Genomic DNA, 19,973 nt, shown 5'->3' on the forward strand with positions numbered 1-19,973 from the left:
CTGAAGTGGGAGGATGGCTTGAGCTAGAGAGGCAGAGGTTGCAGTAAGCTGAGATTGCGCCACTGCACTCCAGCCTGGGCAACAGAGCCAGACACTGTCTCAAAAAAAAAAAAAAAAAGTTCCAATTGTTCTATGCATATAAAAGTAAAAAACAAAAAACCCAGTCTTAAAAGGTCACATATTGGGTCACATACTGTTATGATTCCATTTCCATAATATTTCTGAAATGACAAAATTATAGAGACACCGAACAGATTACTGGTTTCCAGAGATTAGGACAGTAGGGAAAACGGATATGCATGATAATAAAGGAGTAGCACAAGGGGGATCTTTGTGGTGGTAGAACAGTTACACAAATCCATACATGTGATAAAACAGCAGAAAACTACACACACACACACACACATGCACACACACACAGAGCACCATGTCAGTTTCCTGGTGTTGATATTGTACTATGGTTAAATGAGACATAACCAATGGGAGAAAAACGGGTGACGGGTACATGGGAACTGTGTAGTGTTTTTGCAACTTCCTGTGAATCTATAATTACCTAAAAATAAAGTATAAAAAAAAAAAAGTGGTCGGGCGTGGTGGCTCACGCCTGTAATCCCAGCACTTTGGGAGGCCGAGGCAGGTGGATCACCTGAGGTGGAGAGTTCGAGACCAGCCTGACCAACATGGAGAAACTCCGTCTCTACTCAAAATACAAAATTAGCCAGGCATGGTAGCGTGCATCTGTAATCTCAGCTACTCAAGAGGCTGAGGCAGGAGAATCACTTGAACCCAGGAGGCAGAGGTTGCAGTGAGCTGAGATTGTGCCATTTCACTCCAGCTTGGGCAACAAGAGTGAAACTCCGTCTCAAAAAAAAAAAACATGAAATTATTCAGTCAACTGTCCAGCCACTACGGGGAGCTAAAAAAGGCAAAATGTTTATAAAGTATAGCATGTTTCATACTATTTTGCAGTCTCTACTATGCAGGAGAGATGATTATTTAAGCATAGATTGGTTGTTGGCCCAACTATCTGAAATACATTCAGGCACTACCTGTGCCCTATCCATCACAATATTTTTATCGAGCCTCACCAAAGCCATGAGTAATGGGCCAGAAGGCTGCAGAAGTAACTAGTCCAGAATGAATGAACTCTCACTGCAATTTTAGCTCAGCAGACAGTGCCTGCTATCAGAAACATCCAAAAACCACAGCAATTAGACAAATAAGTTGTGAAAGATGTGGTTTCCAGGTAAGATGTGACAGGCTTCTTACCGCAAATAGTTTTTCTTATAAAAGAAGAAAGACTGGTGGGAGAGATGGTGGAAAAAATGAAAACAATGTTTCTTCTATGATTCTCTGGCCCATCCTCACAGGACTTCATATGTAGTGAAGGCAGAATATTTGCCTCAAGCCCAGATGACCAACTTTTACTTTCTACACTGACTCAGGCTTCTTACTGAAAATGGTATATCACCATTTACTCCACTAACATCACTTACAAGATGAGGCCCTATGGGGCACTAACATCTATGTATCTTATGTAGAATTCAATTAATTGGGAAGGCCTATTGACAAACAGGAAGACCCCACACACAGACACACACGCACACACACACACACACACACAAAACAAAAAATAACCACCAGTGAACTCTTCTCTAACCTAATGCTTTATTTATTTAGCCAAATGTGCTTTTAAGGGTGACTGGCTTACACATCAAAAACGTTTACAATTTTAGAATAAACTATAAAACATCCTTCAGCACTAACAAAGCTAAAACTAGTAAAATAAGTAACAAGTATTGCTAACATCATTTTTAAATCACATTCCACACAAGTAGGCCCATGTAGTTTTATGAATAAAACTATTCTTTTTTATTTTAAGAATTAAAAAGTGATGTTAGTGGAATAAATGGTGAAACACCATTTTTAGGAAGAAGCCTGAGTCAGTGTAGAAAGTAAAAGTTGGTCATCTGGGCTTGAGGTAAATATTCTGCCTTCACTACATATGAAGTCCTGTGAGGATGGGCCCAGACAATCATAAAAGACACATTGTTTTCATTTTTTCCACCATCTCTCCCACCAGTCTTTCTCCTTTTGTAAGAAAAACTATTTGCGGTAAGAAGCCTGTCACATATCTTACCTGGAAACCACATCTTTCACAATTTATTTGTCTAATTGCTGTGGTTTTTGGATGTTTCTGATAGCAGGCACTGCTTGCTGAGCTAAAACTGCGGTGAGAGTTCATTCATTCTGGACTGGTTACTTCTGCAGCCGACATATTTGTAAAGACTTATTCAAAAGGTAATCATCCTGACGGAGTGTGAGGCAGCTGTCACCCAGTAGTTGACAGCTCAACCTTGACAGCTGGAATACTTGGGTTCCAACACTGTGAGGCTTTGGGCCCCCTCTTTAATTTCTCTGTGCGGCATTTTCACATTTGTGGAACACAGATAACACCTACACACCTCATAGGATTGTTAGGAGGATTAAACTTGTTAATACAGCAAAGTCCCTGGCACCTGGAGAGCACATAATAACTGTTGGTAATTTTCCTACAGGTAAAATATGGCACAAAGAGAAGTATCACATAGCAAAAGAAGTGCTAGTCTTTTGATCAGTCTTACACAAATTCTCCCATACTTTTAGACAAGAATAAGCCTTCCCCTAACTCCCACTGAAGAATGCATACAATTTCATTCAGAAAAAGTATCATCTGACACAGTGGAATGAGTGAAATAAATCCTGCTGAACATGCCCAATGCTTCCCTAGCTCCTGTGGCCAACATACAATTTCAATAGGAAAGGGGATTGTTTGTAAAGACAGTTTTATAACATCTGTCACCAAACAACAGTGAAGTTCAAAGTGAAAATTCAAGATTTCACATAGCAGGCAGAGGGACTTTCAAAAACATCTGTCCTCTCACTCCTGTTCCCCATCCCTCTTTCCTAATCAAGGTTATAATAACGCAAGCCCTCTGTAAGCTGGCACACAAGCTGACAACATGCTACCCTGCTGAACAGTCATCAAGGAGGAAAGAAAGGCCCAGGGGGCTGCTACAACATTTCCATAAACCTCTTATCCTTAGCTAAAAAGGTAAATTTGTTCTAGAGATGCTTAAAGAAAAAACACTTGACTGGCATAACCTAGACACATGCAATACCTTTTTCCCATTTCTAGTTTTCTCAAGTATTCAGGGAATGACCATCGACATTTTTGGAATCAGAAACAAATTGTTTCCAAAAGTGTTAAGCAGTGCTTGTCCAAAGGCCCCCATATAGCTAGTAATTTAGACAGCTGTGTTAGGAGCCACAGAAGCTGCATTTTCTAACCAGTATTGCTTGTGAACAATTGAAACTTTCTCCAGTGCAAAGTCCAGACACAGGAAGCAGTGTTCTCCAAAAACATTCAAACAGTTTCATTATTGTTTAACTACCAAAATAACAGCTCCAATAATCTATCAAGTTTGACATTTCATCCAACTAAGCAATTAAACCAGGATGAAAAGCATGCATGGAGAGATTTCCCTGCCTGCTCCAAATCAACACTAATTTTGACATTATAACCACAAAAACTAATAATGCATCCTCGTAGACTATTCACAAAAGGCTTCTAAAAAGCAAACACAAAAGCGTCTCGAAGAAATTGCACACCCCTAAATTTTATTTTCTGTCTCCCATCTTTAAGCATCTTAACTGTGAGTTAAGTTACAGGCCAAGAAGTTAGAAACTCCTTTCCAGTATTTAGTCAAAAAGAGGGGAATATGCCTCCCAATACAAGCACCCAATGCAAATTCTATCAATTTATTCTTTTTTTTTTTTTTTTTTTTTTTTTGAGACGGAGTCTTGCTCTGTCTCCCAGGCTGGAGGGCAGTGGCATGATCTTGGCTCACTGCAATCTCCACCTCCCATGTTCAAGGGATTCTCCTGCCTCAGCCTCTCGAATAGCTGGGACTACAGGCGCGTGCCACCACACCTGGCTAATTTTTGTATTTTTAGTAGAGATGGAGTTTCACCATATTGGCCAGGCTGGTCTCGAATTCCTGACCTCAAGTGATCCGCCCGCCTCAGGCCTCCAAAAGTGTTGAGATTACAGGCATGAGCCACCATGCCCGGCCTCAATTTACTCTTAAATATATTAAAGGTTGGCTACTGTGGGCACATTGCCTATAGGGTAGCCCTGCTCTGCAAGGAGCAGTAATTTTAAAAATAATAGTAAAAACGCCGGGCGTGGTGATTCATGCCTATAATTGTAGCACTTTGGGAAGCCAAGGTGGGCAGATCACCTGAGGTCGGGAGTTCAAGACCAGCCTGACCAACATGGAGAAACCCCATCTACTAAAAATACAAAATTAGCCGGGTGTGGTGATGCATGCCTATAATCCCAGCTACTTGGGAGGCTGAGGCAGGAGAATTGCTTGAACCCGGGAGGCGGAGGTTGCGGTGAGCCAAGATCGCACGATTGCACTCCAGCCTGGGCAACAAGAACAAAACTCCGTCTCAAATAATAATAATAATAATAATAATAATAATAATAATAATAATAGTAACAGAAGCCAGATGATGAAGGGAACATCATCGTTTGGAAAGCATCACAATAAGACGTGACAGGACGTACCACCTTCAGAAGTCGACCTGTGGCAAATGTGGCTATGCTGCCAAGCGCAAGAGGAAGTATAACTGGAGTGCCAAGGCTAAAAGACAAACTACCACTGGAACTGGTCAAATGAGGCACTTAAAAATTGTATACAGCAAATTCGGGCATGGATTCTGTGAAAGAACACCACCTAAACCCAAGAGGGCAGCTGCTGCAGCATCCAGTTCATCTTAAGAATTTCAACAATTAGTAACACAATAAATGTTCTGGTTTTTAAAAATAAAAATAAAATATATTAAAATAAATTATATATATATTAAATATATATAAATTATTTATAATAATTAAATAAATTAACTATATAGTTCCTTAACTAGTCCCTAAGTATTATCAACTTTGGTTCTGACCTAGGAAACCACCAAGTCATGAAACTTCTCTCCCCAGGTAGGAATGGGAGCTCTCAGATGGTAGCTTCAGTTATAGGTGGCATGAGGAAGAAAATGATCAAGGACCTCTGATATCAAGTTCTTAAGATGTCCTAAGAACCACTTAGAACAATGCTATTCAAAGTGTGTGTGTCAGACTGCTGGAGGCCCATTCACGTCAAGATAAAACACAGAAAATCACAGTAAGCATTTAGAAACTTTTCTAGTGCTTGACATTGCTGTGACATCCAAGTGCATGATTTTTCTGGTGATTCCCTTTTCTTGTACTTTACACAATTATTGGCTGGCAACAGATTAGGGGTGAAGGGAAACCCTTACAAAGCTGGTCCTTCACCACAGATAGTTTAAGAAGCACAAACTTTTCACACTATGAAGTGCCAGTTCAGTCATTATTGTTCTGAAGGAATCAAAGTACCTTTGCCCTCATTATCTTATAGCTTCTGATTTAAAGGCAATCAGATAAACCAGCAAGGAGGCACCCTGGCATAATCCAAGCTTGATCAACCCATGGCCTCCGGGCCCAACACAAATTCATAAACTTTCATCAGCTATCATTAGTGTTAGTGTATTTTATGTGTGGCCCAAGACAATTCTTCTTCTTCCAATGTGGCCCAGGGAGGCCAAAAGATGGCACACCCCAGACTATAATCTAATGGAAAGAGCACAAATCCACAGTAGTCAGCCAACCTAGCTTCTGGTCTGCAAGAGTCAAATAACTAGCTGGATATCCTAGTTAAGTCTGAGCCTCTTGACTTTTCTGTGCTTTAAATTCCTCCTCTGCAAAATAATAGCATTTCTCAATCTTTTTTTTTATGTGTGGTTCTTTCTCACATAAATTCTTTCTCCAAGTGGGGTCTACAGATAAACTACATCAGAATCCCACATCTCTATCCCAAACACTTTGATTCTGTAGGGCTGGGCTAGGAACCAGGAATCTTTATTTTTTACAAGCACCTAGGAGATTTTTGATCATAGTAAAATTTAAGATCTATTGCAGTAAACATATAACCTTACTAAAGACTTCAGGAATAAAAAAAAAGGTCACGATTTGTATGTAATCTCCAATAAAGAAGTTATTTGATTTTTATTATTTTTTTTCTGGAGACAGGGTCTCACTCTGTTGTCCACACTAGAGTACAGTTGTGCAACCATAGTTCATTATAACCTCAAACTCCTGGACTCAAGCAATCCTCCCAACTCAGACTCCTGAGTAGCTGAGACTGCAGGTGCACAACACCACATCTAGCTAATTTTTTGTATTTTTTGGAGACAAGGTTTTGCTATGTTGCCCAGGCTGGTCTTGATCTCCTGGGCTCCAGTGATCTGCCTGCCTTGGCCTCCCAAAGTGCCAGAATTACAGGCATGAGCCACCAGGCCCGGCCCAGAAAATACATTCTAATATGCTTTCATAATATGTGTAATACATAACAGCAAATTTCCATTTTTCCCCATCTTAAAAAGGGATAGGCTGGGTGCAGAGGCTCACATCTGCAATCCCAGCACTTATCCCAACACTTTGGGAGGCCGAGGCAGACAGATCGCTTTAGGTCAGGAGTTCGACACCAGCCTGGCCAACATGATGAAACCCCGTCTCTACAAAAAATACAAAAATTAGCTGGATGTGGTGGCACACGCCTGTGGTCCCAGCTACTCAGGAGGCTAAGATGGGAGAATCACGTGAACCCAGGAGGCAGAGGTTGCAGTGAGCCAAGATGGCACCACTGAACTCCAGCCTGGGTGACAGAGTGAGACACTGTTTCAAAAAAAAAAAAAAAAAGTGATGTTTGGTTGGGAAGACCAACGGTATATCAAAACACACAAACATTTAACTAGTGGCATCAAAAACTGCTTTCCTGACACGATATTCAGAACTCGAATATGGTATATCGATCCCTCCCAAATAAAACTAGAGGCTTATTTTTATGTTTGTGTTCCTGGGATTACAGGCACGCACCACCATGCCTGGCAAATTTTTGTATTTTTAGTAGAGACGAGGGTTTCACCCTGTTGGCCAGGCTGGTCTTGAACTCCTGAACCCAAGTGATCCACCCACCTCAGCCTCCCAAAGTGCTGGGATTACAGGCGTGAGCCACCGCCCAACCTGTTTGTGTTGTTTCTAAAACAACAACATAAGGAGAAAGATTTCAGTCTGTTTTTTTGCTAGCATTTCCACAAATAACAACAGAGCTATAGATAGCCTGTATCTCAAATAAAAACCTAATTAGATAGTAATTGTCAACGTATTTTCCTTTTTAATACTGCTTTTGGGTAGTGCAAGAGACATGTTGATGTGCTGTGGTGAGGATTTTATCAAGTAAATGCAATTTAAGAATCTGATGAAGATCATCTAGAGGTGAAGCTGCAGAACTACTATCATTTTAATGTCCCCCATTAATTGGTGGGCTCACAGTCACTATTCCTCAAGCTTCTGGTCTCTAACTGTGTCAACATTTCAGAGTTGGGAAACACTGAACTAGATCAATGGGAGTGGTGGGGATGATTCAGAATCATCTGAAGTGCTGGATTCAACCATATGGCCAAGGGTACAACAGGAAGGTGGAATGCCCTTTGACAAGCTGAGAATATTCTGACATCCCTCTTCCCACCCTCTCAGTAAACAATGGCTAAGGTATACTTTAGCTCTGACACAGAAGGATTACACAAACTCTTCCATCAGTATATGATAAGTAGACAAACATAAGAGAATCTGGAAGATTAAGAATTCTCCACTGTGGACTGGGAAAGTCCTCATCTCATAAATTATTCCTTCCCACCCCTGCTTGCACATAATTTTAGCCCCTAACTATTCCTTTCCACCCCTTGACAAAAATCCAGATTCCTCAAACTAGCTGAATTTCAGTGGACCTACTCCTGCTAAGGCCCTAGAAAACACTCCTTCCTCTCTCTCCAAATTAGAACATTCCTTTGCCCAGCATTTTAGAATAAAGCATATGCTCTGGCTGATCTTCCACACCATGTAAAATAATAATTAGTATAGTTAAGATGGTACAATCCAACCCAACTGCAAATGGTTATGCATCTACTGACGCAAGACCTAGAAGAGGGTTGGAAGTTGATAGAGGATGAAGCTTGGTTATTTCTCAGGCACATATTTTAATCATTATGAAGGTAAAAAAGCATGGGAGGATTAGCAGAAAATGCAGAGGGTAGGGCACATAGTTTTTTGTATATTTTAGGATAAAATACGTTGATTCAATTGCCACTAAGACTATATACATGTGATCAGTACCAAGACTGGAAAGATTTTCCAAAGCAAATGAAGAGTAAAACAAGAAGAGGGTGAGGTGGGAGAGGAGGATGCACGATTTACTTAAGAAAAGCTTTTTTTCCTTTCAAATCTTTTAACATAATCCACCAGCAGTTGCAAATAAACAATGGTGTTGATCACTAATAAGTTGCATTTAACCACTCAGAAGCCAGCAGAGCCTCCACTTGGCCTAACTTCCTGTAAGTTTCAAGATGAGTAGGCAGCATTTCTTTAAAAAGGACCAAGACAGTTAAAATGTTTCAGCAGATCATACTGGCTGCCAAGTAGTTCAAATCCAGGTGGATTTCCCCTACTCTTAGAACTAGCCACTGGTAGAAACAAGTGACTGTCCCAGGGAACACTCCACAACTCAGAGATAATGAAAACATATTTTTATATGTAATTCTAGAAAAGGCATGTGAACATGAAAACAGAAAATGTAGGTTTAACTGTAGCATTGCAGAGCGGCAGCTTTAAAAAGTCAGATAACATTAGCTCAACAAAATCATACACTGAAGTGTGCTCAAATTCAAATTCAGCACATGGCGGTAGTAGCAGTTGAAAAACGCTGCTGAGAGAGCAAGAAGGTTTTGCTGTATCTTTTTAGAGGAGAGGACAATGAAGAAATTACCAGACCAAGGTCACTTTTCAACCTAAAAAAAAAGTGGGGGTTAGTAGCTTTAACAGAGATAAAAACCTGTGTAGGTTATAACTCCATGAAATCAGTAGCCTGGTGAGTGTCTCTCCAAGAATCTTGCAGGAAATTAAGTGTGGATTGAGTAATTAAATGTAAAGTCTCCTTGAGAGTAACTTCAGTTATTGAAGACTATATATTTCTGTGAAACATATAGAAAAATTATGAGGAGGATTTACTAGGTATCACATCACAGCCTTTCTCCTTTCACATCAGGTTGGAAACACTATGATCTAAAAAGAATAGAACGATTTGGGAATTGTTCATTCTCTAGTCTTTGCAAAAATTCACGTGCTAGTGTAACTGTAATATACTTAGGAGTTTCCAAAAATGGCACACATTTCCTCAAGAGATGTAGAAAAAAATAATCTCTGGGTAAAAGGCCAAACATTGTCTCTTCTGAATGCTTAAACAGCCAATTATGTGTCTAATACATTAATTATATAAAGAGAGAGAGACTATTACAGGAAAGTTGAATAAGACATCTTAAAAAAATGTACCCTGGGGCCTAAGTCCATTCAAATGACAGTAAAATCACCCCTCAAAAAATCAGTTTTATGGAACATCTAGTATTTTAATTTTCCAGCTGCCAACAGAAATATATAAGGAGCAGAAATTAAACTAGTTATGGCAGCAGCGCAGTGAACAAAACTTCAATTGTATTACACACTAGTTAGACATTTGCCAAACAATACAAAGGCCCTTAAGGGTGGAAACTTCTTTAGAATATAAATGATTCCCAATCAATATGAAAGAAATTAGTCTGTTTAGGTAATAAACAGATTCATGGTTTAGATGTAAAAATTCAACTGACATCATAATTCAATATAGAAAATAAATATATAAGAAATTAATCTCTAAAATGGCTTTAAATCACTGTGATTTACATATGCTGTATCATTAATAGGCCCTTTAAGCTGGTATTGTACTAATCAGCTTTTTTAACATCCTGCCCACAAAAGAGCTTATTCATTTAGCTAGGAGACAGGTGTTAGCAACCAGAAACCTCTTTTAGCCTCGAGTTCCAGGGACTGGGCCTGCATCTATGATGATGATTGGCAAGTCTAAAGGAAGGACAGCTTTAAAAGAGGGAAAAGGAGGAGACAGGGAACAAGAAACGAAGACCAAAAGGGAGAAAAGAAGATAATGAAAGAAATGGATGTCAGGTGCTACTTAATGAGGCCACCCTCAAAGGCTCCTAGCCTAATCTGGGCTACCGTCCAAATACAGATGGCAGAATTTGGGTAATGTTATTCATTTATTCCTGCAGATAGTAACTCTGGGTACATGCCAACACTCCACTCATTCTAAAAAATTGTTTAAAGTGTTGCTAATTGTCCTGTGACTCATTCTTCTTACCCATATTCTCTGGTTCTTAACTTTAGTCCTCACTCTTTCATACATTTTCTAAAAGAGCTGACTGAATAGATATTCCTGGAAAGAGATATAGAGAAAGCTGGATTTAGAAAAGCATCTTAAGCCTACAGAATAAAAATTGTGTGAGGAAGTGGGAGAAGGGACGTTTATTGAGTTGCTTACAATATACAAAAAACATATTTTTCTCTCTTTCAATCCTCCCTTGCATATTTTCCCCCTTTTAATCCACATAACAATCCTACCAGGTATTTTCATCTTGCAGATGAAAAAACTGAAGCTCACAGAGGTTAAGTAATTTGCCTAAGGTAGCACAGCCAGGAAGTGGGGGAGTCAGAATTCAAAACCAGGTTTGTCTATACAAACAAACTACGTTAGGGATAACGTATCTAGTGCCTGAATCTGTTTTAAATCAGATGGTTCTATATTTCAGCAATTATTCTTCCTCCCATGAACTCATCAAACGGCTGCTGACTAAATTTTATTAACTATTTGTTACGCACCTATTATTTTCAATAAAGGCTTCAGCTGTGTAGAAATAAAACAGGCAAACTGACTTTATTCTAAAATTTGACATACAGAGAATTCCCAGGCATCTCTGCCATCCAACACTGATGATCATAACTAGATTCAACTACCTATTCAGACCTCTAGTTGTTTCCACATTATCATTCATTTGTCCACTCATGAGATAAACGAAGCTACTTTCACCAAAAACCCTCCCTCATGACTCCTGATAGATAATACAGCAGAGGAGGCCTCACTGTAAAGCAATTTACATAAAAGTTATAAAAGCTCTTTGTTATCTGTCATGACTAGGAAATGGGCTATTCTAGCAAATCAAACATCCTGGATAGCATAACGATTCTATTAGAGGGACTACCAATTTATAAGGAATTTCAATGTGCATAATTTCACTCTAAAAATTAAAAAAAGAAAAGCGGGTCAGGCACGGTGGCTCACACCTGTAATCCCAACACTTTGGGAGGCCAAGGTAGGCAGATCACTTGAGGTCAGTAGTTTGAGACCAGCATGGCCAACATGGTGAAACCCCATCCCTACAAAAAATACAAAAATCGGCTGGACATGGTGGCGCATGTCTGTAGTCCCAGTTACTTGGGAGGCTGAGGCAGGAGAACTGCTTGAACCCAGGAGGCGGAGGTTGCAGTGAGCCAAGATCACACCACTGCACTCCAGCCTAGGTGACAGAGCAAGACTCTGTCTCAAAAAAAAAAAAAAGAAAGAAAGAAAAGGGAAGAAAAGTGAACCCCAATTTTCAAAGTTCCATGGGGCCTGATGTACAGGAGATAATGCCCCCCCCACCCTGAAAAAGAGTATCAATGCAATAAAACGGTGGTTCCCAAACTTGACTGCACATCCAAAGCACTTGGGAAGCCAGGCACGGTGGCTCAATGGCTCAAGCCTGTAATCCCAGCACTTTGGGAGGTCGAGGCAGGTGGATCACCTGAGGTCAGGAGTTTGAGACCATCCTGGCCAACAGGGTGAAACCCTGCCTCTGCTAAAAACACAAAAATTAGCCGGGCGCAGTGGCGCGTGCCTGTAATCCCAGCTACTTGGGAGACGGAGGCAGGAGAATTGCTTGAACCCAGGAGGCAGAGGTTGCGGTGAGCCGAGATCATGCCACGCACTCTAGCCTGGGTGACAGAGACTCCATCTCAAAAAAATAAATAAATAAAAACCACTTGGGGAGCTTTTTGAAAATAAAGATGCAAGGGAGATTTTTTAAAGCTAGCTTCCTGCTGGACGCAGTGGCTCACACCTGTAATCCCAACATTGGGAGGCCAAGGCGGGCAGATCACCTGAGGTCAGGAGTTTGAGACCAGCCTGGTCAATATAGTAAAACCCTGTCTCTACTAAAAATACAAAAATTAGCCGGGTGTGGTGACACACATCTGTGGTCCCAGCTACTTGGGTGGCTGAGGCAGGCACATCACTTGAACCTGGGAGGTGGAGGTTACAGTGAGCCGAGATCACCTCACTGCACTCCAGCCTGGATGACAGAGCTGAGACTGTCTCAAAAATAAATAAATAGGCTGGGTGTGGTGGCTCACACCTATAATCCCAGCACTTTGGGAGGCTGAGGCGGGCAGATCACATGAGGTCAGGAGTTCAAGATCAGCCTGGCCAATGTAGTGAAAACCCGTCTCTACTAAAAAAAAAAATGCAAAAATTAGCTGGGTGTGGTGGTGGGTGCCTGTAATCCCAGCCGCTCGGGAGGCTGAGGCAGAAGAATTGCTTGAACCCAGGAGACAGAGGTTGCAGTGAACCGAGATCCAGAGGTTGCAGTGAACCGAGATCCCGCCACTGCACTCCAGCCTGGGTGACAGAGCAAGACTCCATCTCAAAATAAAATGAAATAAAATAAAAATAATTAATAAAAATAAAAGGTAGCGTCTACATGGTATGGCCTCATAGTAGTAATAATAAATTATAAAATTGAAAAAATAAAAGGTAATTCTCTGGTCATCACTTACCCACTCAGTCAAAATCTCCAGGAAGTGGGGCTGGGAAATCTGCATTTTTAAAGAATATCTCGGTCAGTGACTCAGCAGCAAATCACCAGGTACCTCATCTTTCAAGGAGTGGCTGGCGTTTGGAACTCCTTACAATAAAACATACTCAAAAGGCTAAAGCTGCACTGAACCCAATGTGACCTGTCATTGATGATTCAGGAGACTTCAGGATCTCCCATTACCACTAGGTTATCATTTACTACCAGTCACTAGTCACTGTACTAACAAAACCAGTAAGGTAAAGTTAATAAAGACTTTCTATTAGTAGAGAGCAGGAAAAAACAGCTTTTGTTTTATTATCAGATTCAAAAAGCTGGTTTTACTCCAGAGGAAATGCAGTTTTTTGTTGTTGTTTTTGAGATGGAGTTTCGCTCTTGTTGCCCAGGCTGTAGCGCAGTGGTGCGATCTCGGCTCACTGCAACCTCCGTCTCCCAGGTTCAAGTGATTCTCCTGCCTCAGTCTCTCAAGTAGCTGGAATTACAGGCATGCACCACCATGCCCGGCTAATTTTGTGTTTTCAGTAGAAACAGGGTTTCACCATATTGGTCAGGCTGGTCTCTAACTCCTGATCTCAGGTAATCACCCGCCTCTGCCTCCCAAAGTGCTGGGATTACAGGAGTGAGCCACTGCGCCCAGCCAAGATGCAGATTTTATGCTTTAAAAAGGAAACTGTTTAAAAACATGCAGGACTCTTTTAACCAACTGCTTGGCTTCACTGCAGAATGTTAACAGGCCCAAATACATTAAAAATGTGGAATATTCACCCTGCATAAGAAAAGTAAAGGAAGAACTTCATGACAGTCTTAACGAAGAGAAAGGATAATGGGTTTAAACTAAGACTGGCATAACAGGATTAGCTATGACCGCTGTCCTGATGGCAGCTGTTAAATCTTGGAAACAGGGAGGGCAGAGGTCTTTAAATACATGAGGCCAATTCCTACCTATCTGAGATGGCTTTTATGTGAGATATAATAGGATATCCTACTAAGAGCCAAATTAGTTTTACTATTTTAAAACTGCTTAACTAATATAAAGTCACAAAATAAGAAGTTAATCAGATATTTCCTTACGAAAGACCCGGGAGTCTGTTTCTATATGAAAAGCTTGTCTTTAGGCTGGGCACAGTGGCTCACACCCATAATCCCAGCACTTTGGGAGGCCGAGGCCAGAGGATCGCTTGAGCTCAAGGCATTTGAGATCAGCCTGGGCAACATGGCAAAACCCTGTCTCCACCAAAAACACAAAAATTAGCTGGGCGTAGTGACGCACATCTGTGGTCCCAGGTACTTGGGAGGCGAGGATTGCGTGAGCCCAGGAGGCAAGGTTGCATCGAGCTGAAATCATTCCATGGCACTCCAGCATGGTTGACAAGAGTGAGACCCCCATCTCAATTAAAAAAAAAAAAAAAGACTATCTTTACAATTGCCAAAATCTTTCTTACACAAACACCAAATAACCATTACCAATAACCAGAAGTGAAACAAAAATAACCAGTAATCATCATTAAACCAGTAACCATTACCAAACAACAATGAAGCAGCTCCTCACTTGAGACTTCACCAATAGTAATTTAAACTATGCGTTCTCATTAAACTCTAATACCTTAATTCTGTTATTGTATTAACAAGTTATGAGATTCTAAGGTATAGAGGTTAAATCTTTCCTCCAAAAACATAAACACTATGACTAGTACAAGTTTGGTATAAAAGCCTCTATCATTAAAACCATGGCAGTATTAAAGGTTCTATGACAAGAATAAAAAATCAAGGTGGAATTAGTCCCCCTAACAACTTCTTAGGTTTACAGAGGTGTTCTCAGAAAGTCTTAGGCATGACGCTCATAGAGATGGGTGTGACTGTATTTAAATAACAATGCACATGTAATTAGAAAAGAAATTGTGCCCTTTTTTGTTATTGTTGCTGTTTGTTTTGTCTTCTTAAATGCTGGTCACTAAAAACGCCTTTTCCACAACCCTTAAGAGGTGTTCCGGCCTGGCGCGGTGGCTCACATCTGTAATCTCAGAACTTGGGGAAGCCAAGGCAGGAGGATTGCTTGAGCCCAGTTCATGACGAACAACATGGCAAAACCTCATCTCTACAGAAAATACAAAAACTAGCTGGGTGTGGTTGCACATGCCTGAGGTCCCAGCTACTCAGGAGGCTGAGAAGGGAGAGTCACCTAAGCCTAGGAGGTCAAGGCTGCAGTGAGCCATGATTACGCCACTGCACGCCAGTCTGAGTGACAGAGTGAGACTCTGTCTCCAAAAAAAAAAAAGGTGTTCCTATTAGATGGTACCAAGCAGAGTTATGTCAACTGGCTTGGTCATGAGAGAAGGTTTGAAAGAAATTGATTTTTAAGGTTTCTGAGAAGAGCTTTCTTTTTTTGTGCATGTTATTTTGGAGGCTGGTTAAACTGGTCGATTTAAATATTTACAACCCTTGATCCCAATGTAAACAAGAAATCACAACTGTCTACCTGATCAATATGAAAGTTTTTAACAGGCTGGTCTTTGTAATTAGACGGGCATTAAAATGAGTGCGTCCTAGATTACATGAACATTTTCTTCAATCACAATCAAGATATTAGCCCTGCCACATCAATCTGCAATTGTTATGAAAATATACCCAAATATTTTCAAACTTAAGAATACCTCTAAATAAACTGTAACTTCTGAATTGTACTCTAAAATTCAGAATTAGGAAATATACAATAAAAGTTCGGAAACCTTTGCCATCATCTACTTCCTTGAATGTGAAAGAGAATGTAATCAGAGAAAAGGATAAAGAAGTTGTCAAACCTGAAATCCCCTGAACAGAAAGGAGCTGCCACGGCTAGGCTGCAGCCCTAGAACTCTGTACACAAATTCAGCCCAGTACCTTGTCCCCTGCCTACTCCCATTCCTAGAAGAATGGTATAATAAACGGGCAGCCCGGCCCACATTTCAGTAAATTGAACTGTCACGGGGAGAATAAGGCACCCCAAACAGTTGCAGCGACAGTGGTTAACAGGAAGTCTCTCTGTCCTCCAAACCAATAATCAAAGGGATACATAAGGAACTCACTGCTTTCTTAGAAGGCCACATGCACCCCGGGATGTTTGCTCATCACGTCACTCTGGCCTTTAACCAGGGAGCAAAGAGACAGTTGTGGGTAAAACCCTATTTCCAAGCTAACAATTATCCTTCCTTATGGTAGACTGGGGGGTGCACGGTACACTCTTGATTACACAAGCAGTCTTCTTCCCCCCTAGAACAAATGACAGACCAACAAAAAGGAGAAAATGATATGCTGTTGTTTATCTCTTCTGCCAGCCTGAACTCAAGCTCTGAGCAGACGTGCCAGCGGAGGCTCTGGCTCCCCTGGTTCGCCAGACTTCCCCATGTCTGGTCAACTGTCTCCTGGGCAGCCGGCTGAAGAGAGGCCCCATTTCCCTCTCGGTCTTGACCGCTGCCGCACAGTGGCGACCTCACACACATCGCGAACAGAGGACAACTCCCAAGCGAGGGAACAGTGGACCCTGCGGGGAGAACCGCATTCCCAAACTTCTCCATCAAACCTCCAAACTCCAAACCTCCCTCCTCCAGCCGCCTCCTCTAAGACGGAGATAGGGACGGGCTGGTTCCTTTAAAGGGGTAAGCAGGCCGCCGCGGACCTGCCTCAGTTTCTTCTGACGTACAAAGAGGTATCTTTTCCCCACAAGCCAACTAGACCTGCCGGTCTGCAGGGCGCTTGGGGATAATCGAGGACGCACGTCTCCTGTTACTGCCCCCACAGGTGAAACGCTTTCTTTGAGGGGACTTTTCAAAGGACAGGTGTGGGCTGCCCTGAAGGCGGGGACTTCCAGCCAGCCAAGGGCTTCCCCCCACCCCTGTAGGGCAGGGAGAGTCCCAGGCCGCGCCCCACACAGAGGAAGGGCCCCCAGACCACAGCCTGACGGCACCCGACCGTCCCCCTTCCCGTCCTTCCCCAGGCCGGGCGCCCAGCGGCCCCCAGCGCCGCCGCCGCCGCCTCCTCACCTGCTGCGGCCGCCCTCCCGGCCGGCACCTAGGAGAGGAGGCGAGGGGAGGGGCCGGATCCCGGCCGCGGACGCCTCAGGCAGGGAGGCTGCGGACTCCGCCGCGGCGGCGTCTCTGGGGCTGAGGGGCACCCGGGGGCGGTCGCGACATCCTCACGGGCGGCCCCAGGAAGTCGGCCCCCCCTCCCACCCATCCCCAGCCGGCCCGGCCCGGCCCGGCCGCTCCCGCCCTCCGCGCGGCCCCGCCCCTGACTCGGCCCCGCCCCCTCTCGGGATCGCGCCTCCGCTCCCGCCGCGCCCGAGCCACCATAGAGAAGAGCGAGGCGCCCGGCGGCCTCGAGCGCGGCCTCCGCTCGCGCCCCCTGGCGGAGCTGAGGCTCCCGACGGCGGGGCCGGGCTGGCCTGAGCCGTGGGGCCGTAGGAGGCGTCGTTTCCCCAAAGTCGTGGGGTCGGCCGCTGCTGGTTACCTTGGTCACACAACTCTGCGGGAGGCGCCCAAGGGTCCAGGTCCAAGTTTCAGCTGGGTCAAGACCCGGCTTGGTGACCTTGAGCGAGTCCCTCAACACCTCTGAACGCATGTCATAAAACTTTGAAAGGTGCCTGACTTTCATGTCTCATTGACTCTCTCCTCGGTGCGATGAGCAGGCGATGGTTTCCCCCGCTTCATGATTGCAGAAACCCAGCCCCACTAGGGGTTACGAGCTTATTCAGCGTCCCACAACTGGGAGGTATTAGAAGCCGGGTCTGTGGGACCTAAAAACCCATGCTTGTCCCACTCACTCTAGCACTGCCCAGTCTAAACCGCTAGGACTAGCTACTTCCCCTCAGGAAAGTCAGGAAGCTGCTGAGGAAGGCTGTGGTAGAATGAGAATGACTCAGCGAGGATCCATCCCTGCCTTTCACCCATGCACCTTTCAGCAAGGTACCTAACCTTTACGAACTCTGGTTTTCTCATCCCAGAAACGCAGGTTGGCGTGAGGATTTAGTGAGCGCATGCATGTAGCTGTGGTTAGTAAACCGCCAAGCAGCAGGGCGGCCCAGGGGATGGTTAGCCAGCGTGGGCTACGATGCCTAGTCATGAACATAATATTAAGTTCTAATCCTTCTTTTAAATGGTGTCTAGTGACACAATTTTCTTAGGCTTTAGGTTCTATTGAGAACTCCTAGTTTTTCTGAACAATTTGTATTTTCAAACAAGGAATATCGTAAGGAAAATAAGATCATGAGCCAGGCGTGGTGGCTCATGCCTGTAATCCCAGCACTTTGGGAGGCTGAGGTGGGTGGATCACCTGACGTCAGGAGTTCGAGACCAGCCTGGCCAACATGGTGAAACCCCATGTCTACTAAAAATACAAAAAATTAGCCAGGAATGGTGGCGGGTGCCGGTAATCCCAGCTACTCGGAAGACAGAGGTTGCAGTGAGCCAAGGTCGCGCCATTGCACTCCAGCCTGGGCAACAAGGGCGAGACGACGCCTCAGAAATAATAACAATAAGATCACGTATACATATCAGACTCTGTCACTTTACAAGTATTATTTTCAATCCTCACAACCCAGCAAACTGAGTACTATTATTCCCATGTTATCAATGAGGATCTACATATTAAGTAATTTACCCAAAACTACATGGTTAGAAAAAGGTGGAGCTGGAATGTATTGCTTTTTTTTCTTTCAACCAGCAGTGTCTTGAATACACGGAGCTGCAATTTATTTATTTTTTTGAGACAGAGTCTCACTGTCACCCAGGCTGGAATGCAGTGGCGTGATCTCCGCTCACTGCAACCTCCGCCTCCCAGGTTCAAAGGATCTTCCCACCCTATAGCTGGGTCTACAGTCACCCGCTACCACGCTTGGCTAATTTGTTTATTTGTTTGCCTGTTTTTGGTAGAGACAGAGTTTCACCATGTTGGCCAGGCTGGTCTCAAACTCCTAACCTCAAGCGATCTGCCGCCTCGGCCTCCCAAAGTGCTGGGATTACCAGGACGAGCCACTGCGCCCCAAAAAGCTGGAATTTAAAACTGATTTTTTCAATCACCTGGAATGCACGGAAAGACTGACCTGCTAAAGGCCTCCCACATCCGAATTAAATGTACCCTTCATTTTCCTTCCTGGCTATTTTTGTAACTTTCCCTGATGCAATTCTGTCTGGTTTGCTTCTCTCTAAGTCTTCATTTCCAGCCCTACCCTCCAAAGGCATTTATGGTCTCCTCCTTTCCCTCTAATTCCTTTTCCCTAGATATGCCAGGACCTTGTCCATCCTCTCAATTCTGAAATAGATTCCTAGCTGTGATGAAGGCACAGCCTTTTCCACCACATCACTCTTTCTCTTGATAGAAATCATAGTTATAGAAAGTTAATAGGTCCAGGCCAGGCGCGGTGGCTCATGCCTGTAATCCCAGCACTTTGGGAGACCTGATCACTTGAGGTCAGGAGTTTGAGACCAGCCTGGCCAATGTAGTGAAACCCCATCTCTAATAAAAATAACAAAAATTAGCGAGGCGTGGTGGCGTACGCCTATAATCCCAGCTACTCGGGAGGCTGAGGCAGGGGAATCACTTGAACTCGGGAGGTGGAGGTTGCAGTGAACCGAGATCGTGCCACTGCACTCCAGCCTGGGTGACAGAGCAAGGCTCCATCTCAAAACAAAAAACAAACAAACAGAAAAAAAGTTAATAGGTCCAGAACAAGGGTGGGGTGAGACCTGGGGATGTCCTTTCATAAACTTAGTTTACAACCTGAAGGTTCAGTTCTGAAAGGGGGTGCACTTAATCCACTGATTGGATCCAATAATTGAAGTTTGGATTCATGACATCCTGTGGAAATCATTTTTTTCTGGGCCCTCTGGTCCATATTACAAGCAAATCATTGGAATGCTGCTAAATAATGTGCATATCACTGCAGCACAGAGGCCTCCGAGCTGCGTTTATCCACGCTCCTCCTTTCTCCACCTTAGGCATTACCACCGTCACTATTTTTCATCTTTATCATGCCCTTCCACAGAGGCATTCAATAATGTACCCATTGTGCAAGCAATCCGAAATCCTTTTCA

The 19,973-nt window shown here is 43.3% G+C and overlaps 1 protein-coding gene, 1 long non-coding RNA gene and 1 pseudogene across 2 annotated transcripts in view, besides 6 other annotated features; 1 reads left to right on the forward strand and 2 right to left on the reverse strand.

Moving 5' to 3' along the window:
* Window positions 1-17,047, reverse strand: part of RFFL (ring finger and FYVE like domain containing E3 ubiquitin protein ligase) — an 83,237-nt gene extending 66,190 nt beyond the window's left edge. Inside the window, exon 1 of the transcript NR_037713.2 lies at window positions 16,926-17,047. The gene's annotated coding sequence lies outside the window, so the exon portion shown is untranslated. The remainder of the gene's footprint in view (window positions 1-16,925) is intronic.
* The window catches only part of RAD51L3-RFFL (RAD51L3-RFFL readthrough), a 112,411-nt gene that overhangs the window by 63,068 nt on the left and 29,370 nt on the right, over window positions 1-19,973 (reverse strand). The window lies entirely within an intron of this gene.
* On the forward strand, window positions 4,613-4,868 carry RPL37P22 (ribosomal protein L37 pseudogene 22; annotated as a pseudogene).
* Window positions 15,973-16,052: an enhancer, noted in NCBI's record as "active region_12056". NCBI's record gives its function as "activates an Ori minimal core promoter by ATAC-STARR-seq in GM12878 lymphoblastoid cells {active_cell/tissue: GM12878}" and the evidence as "EXISTENCE:reporter gene assay evidence [ECO:0000049][PMID:35858748]".
* Window positions 16,063-16,112: an enhancer, noted in NCBI's record as "active region_12057". NCBI's record gives its function as "activates an Ori minimal core promoter by ATAC-STARR-seq in GM12878 lymphoblastoid cells {active_cell/tissue: GM12878}" and the evidence as "EXISTENCE:reporter gene assay evidence [ECO:0000049][PMID:35858748]".
* Window positions 16,243-16,372: an enhancer, noted in NCBI's record as "active region_12058". NCBI's record gives its function as "activates an Ori minimal core promoter by ATAC-STARR-seq in GM12878 lymphoblastoid cells {active_cell/tissue: GM12878}" and the evidence as "EXISTENCE:reporter gene assay evidence [ECO:0000049][PMID:35858748]".
* Window positions 16,763-17,392: a silencer, noted in NCBI's record as "silent region_8434". NCBI's record gives its function as "represses an Ori minimal core promoter by ATAC-STARR-seq in GM12878 lymphoblastoid cells {active_cell/tissue: GM12878}" and the evidence as "EXISTENCE:reporter gene assay evidence [ECO:0000049][PMID:35858748]".
* Window positions 16,763-17,740: a biological region, named in NCBI's record as "H3K27ac hESC enhancer GRCh37_chr17:33416287-33416938".
* Window positions 17,089-17,740: an enhancer, noted in NCBI's record as "H3K27ac hESC enhancer chr17:33416287-33416938 (GRCh37/hg19 assembly coordinates)". NCBI's record gives its function as "activates a minimal SCP1, AML or CMV promoter by ChIP-STARR-seq in naive H9 embryonic stem cells {active_cell/tissue: H9 hESC(naive)}" and the evidence as "EXISTENCE:reporter gene assay evidence [ECO:0000049][PMID:30033119]".

Source organism: Homo sapiens, chromosome 17 (genome assembly GCF_000001405.40).
Source record: "Homo sapiens chromosome 17, GRCh38.p14 Primary Assembly".
NCBI lineage: Eukaryota > Metazoa > Chordata > Mammalia > Primates > Hominidae > Homo > Homo sapiens.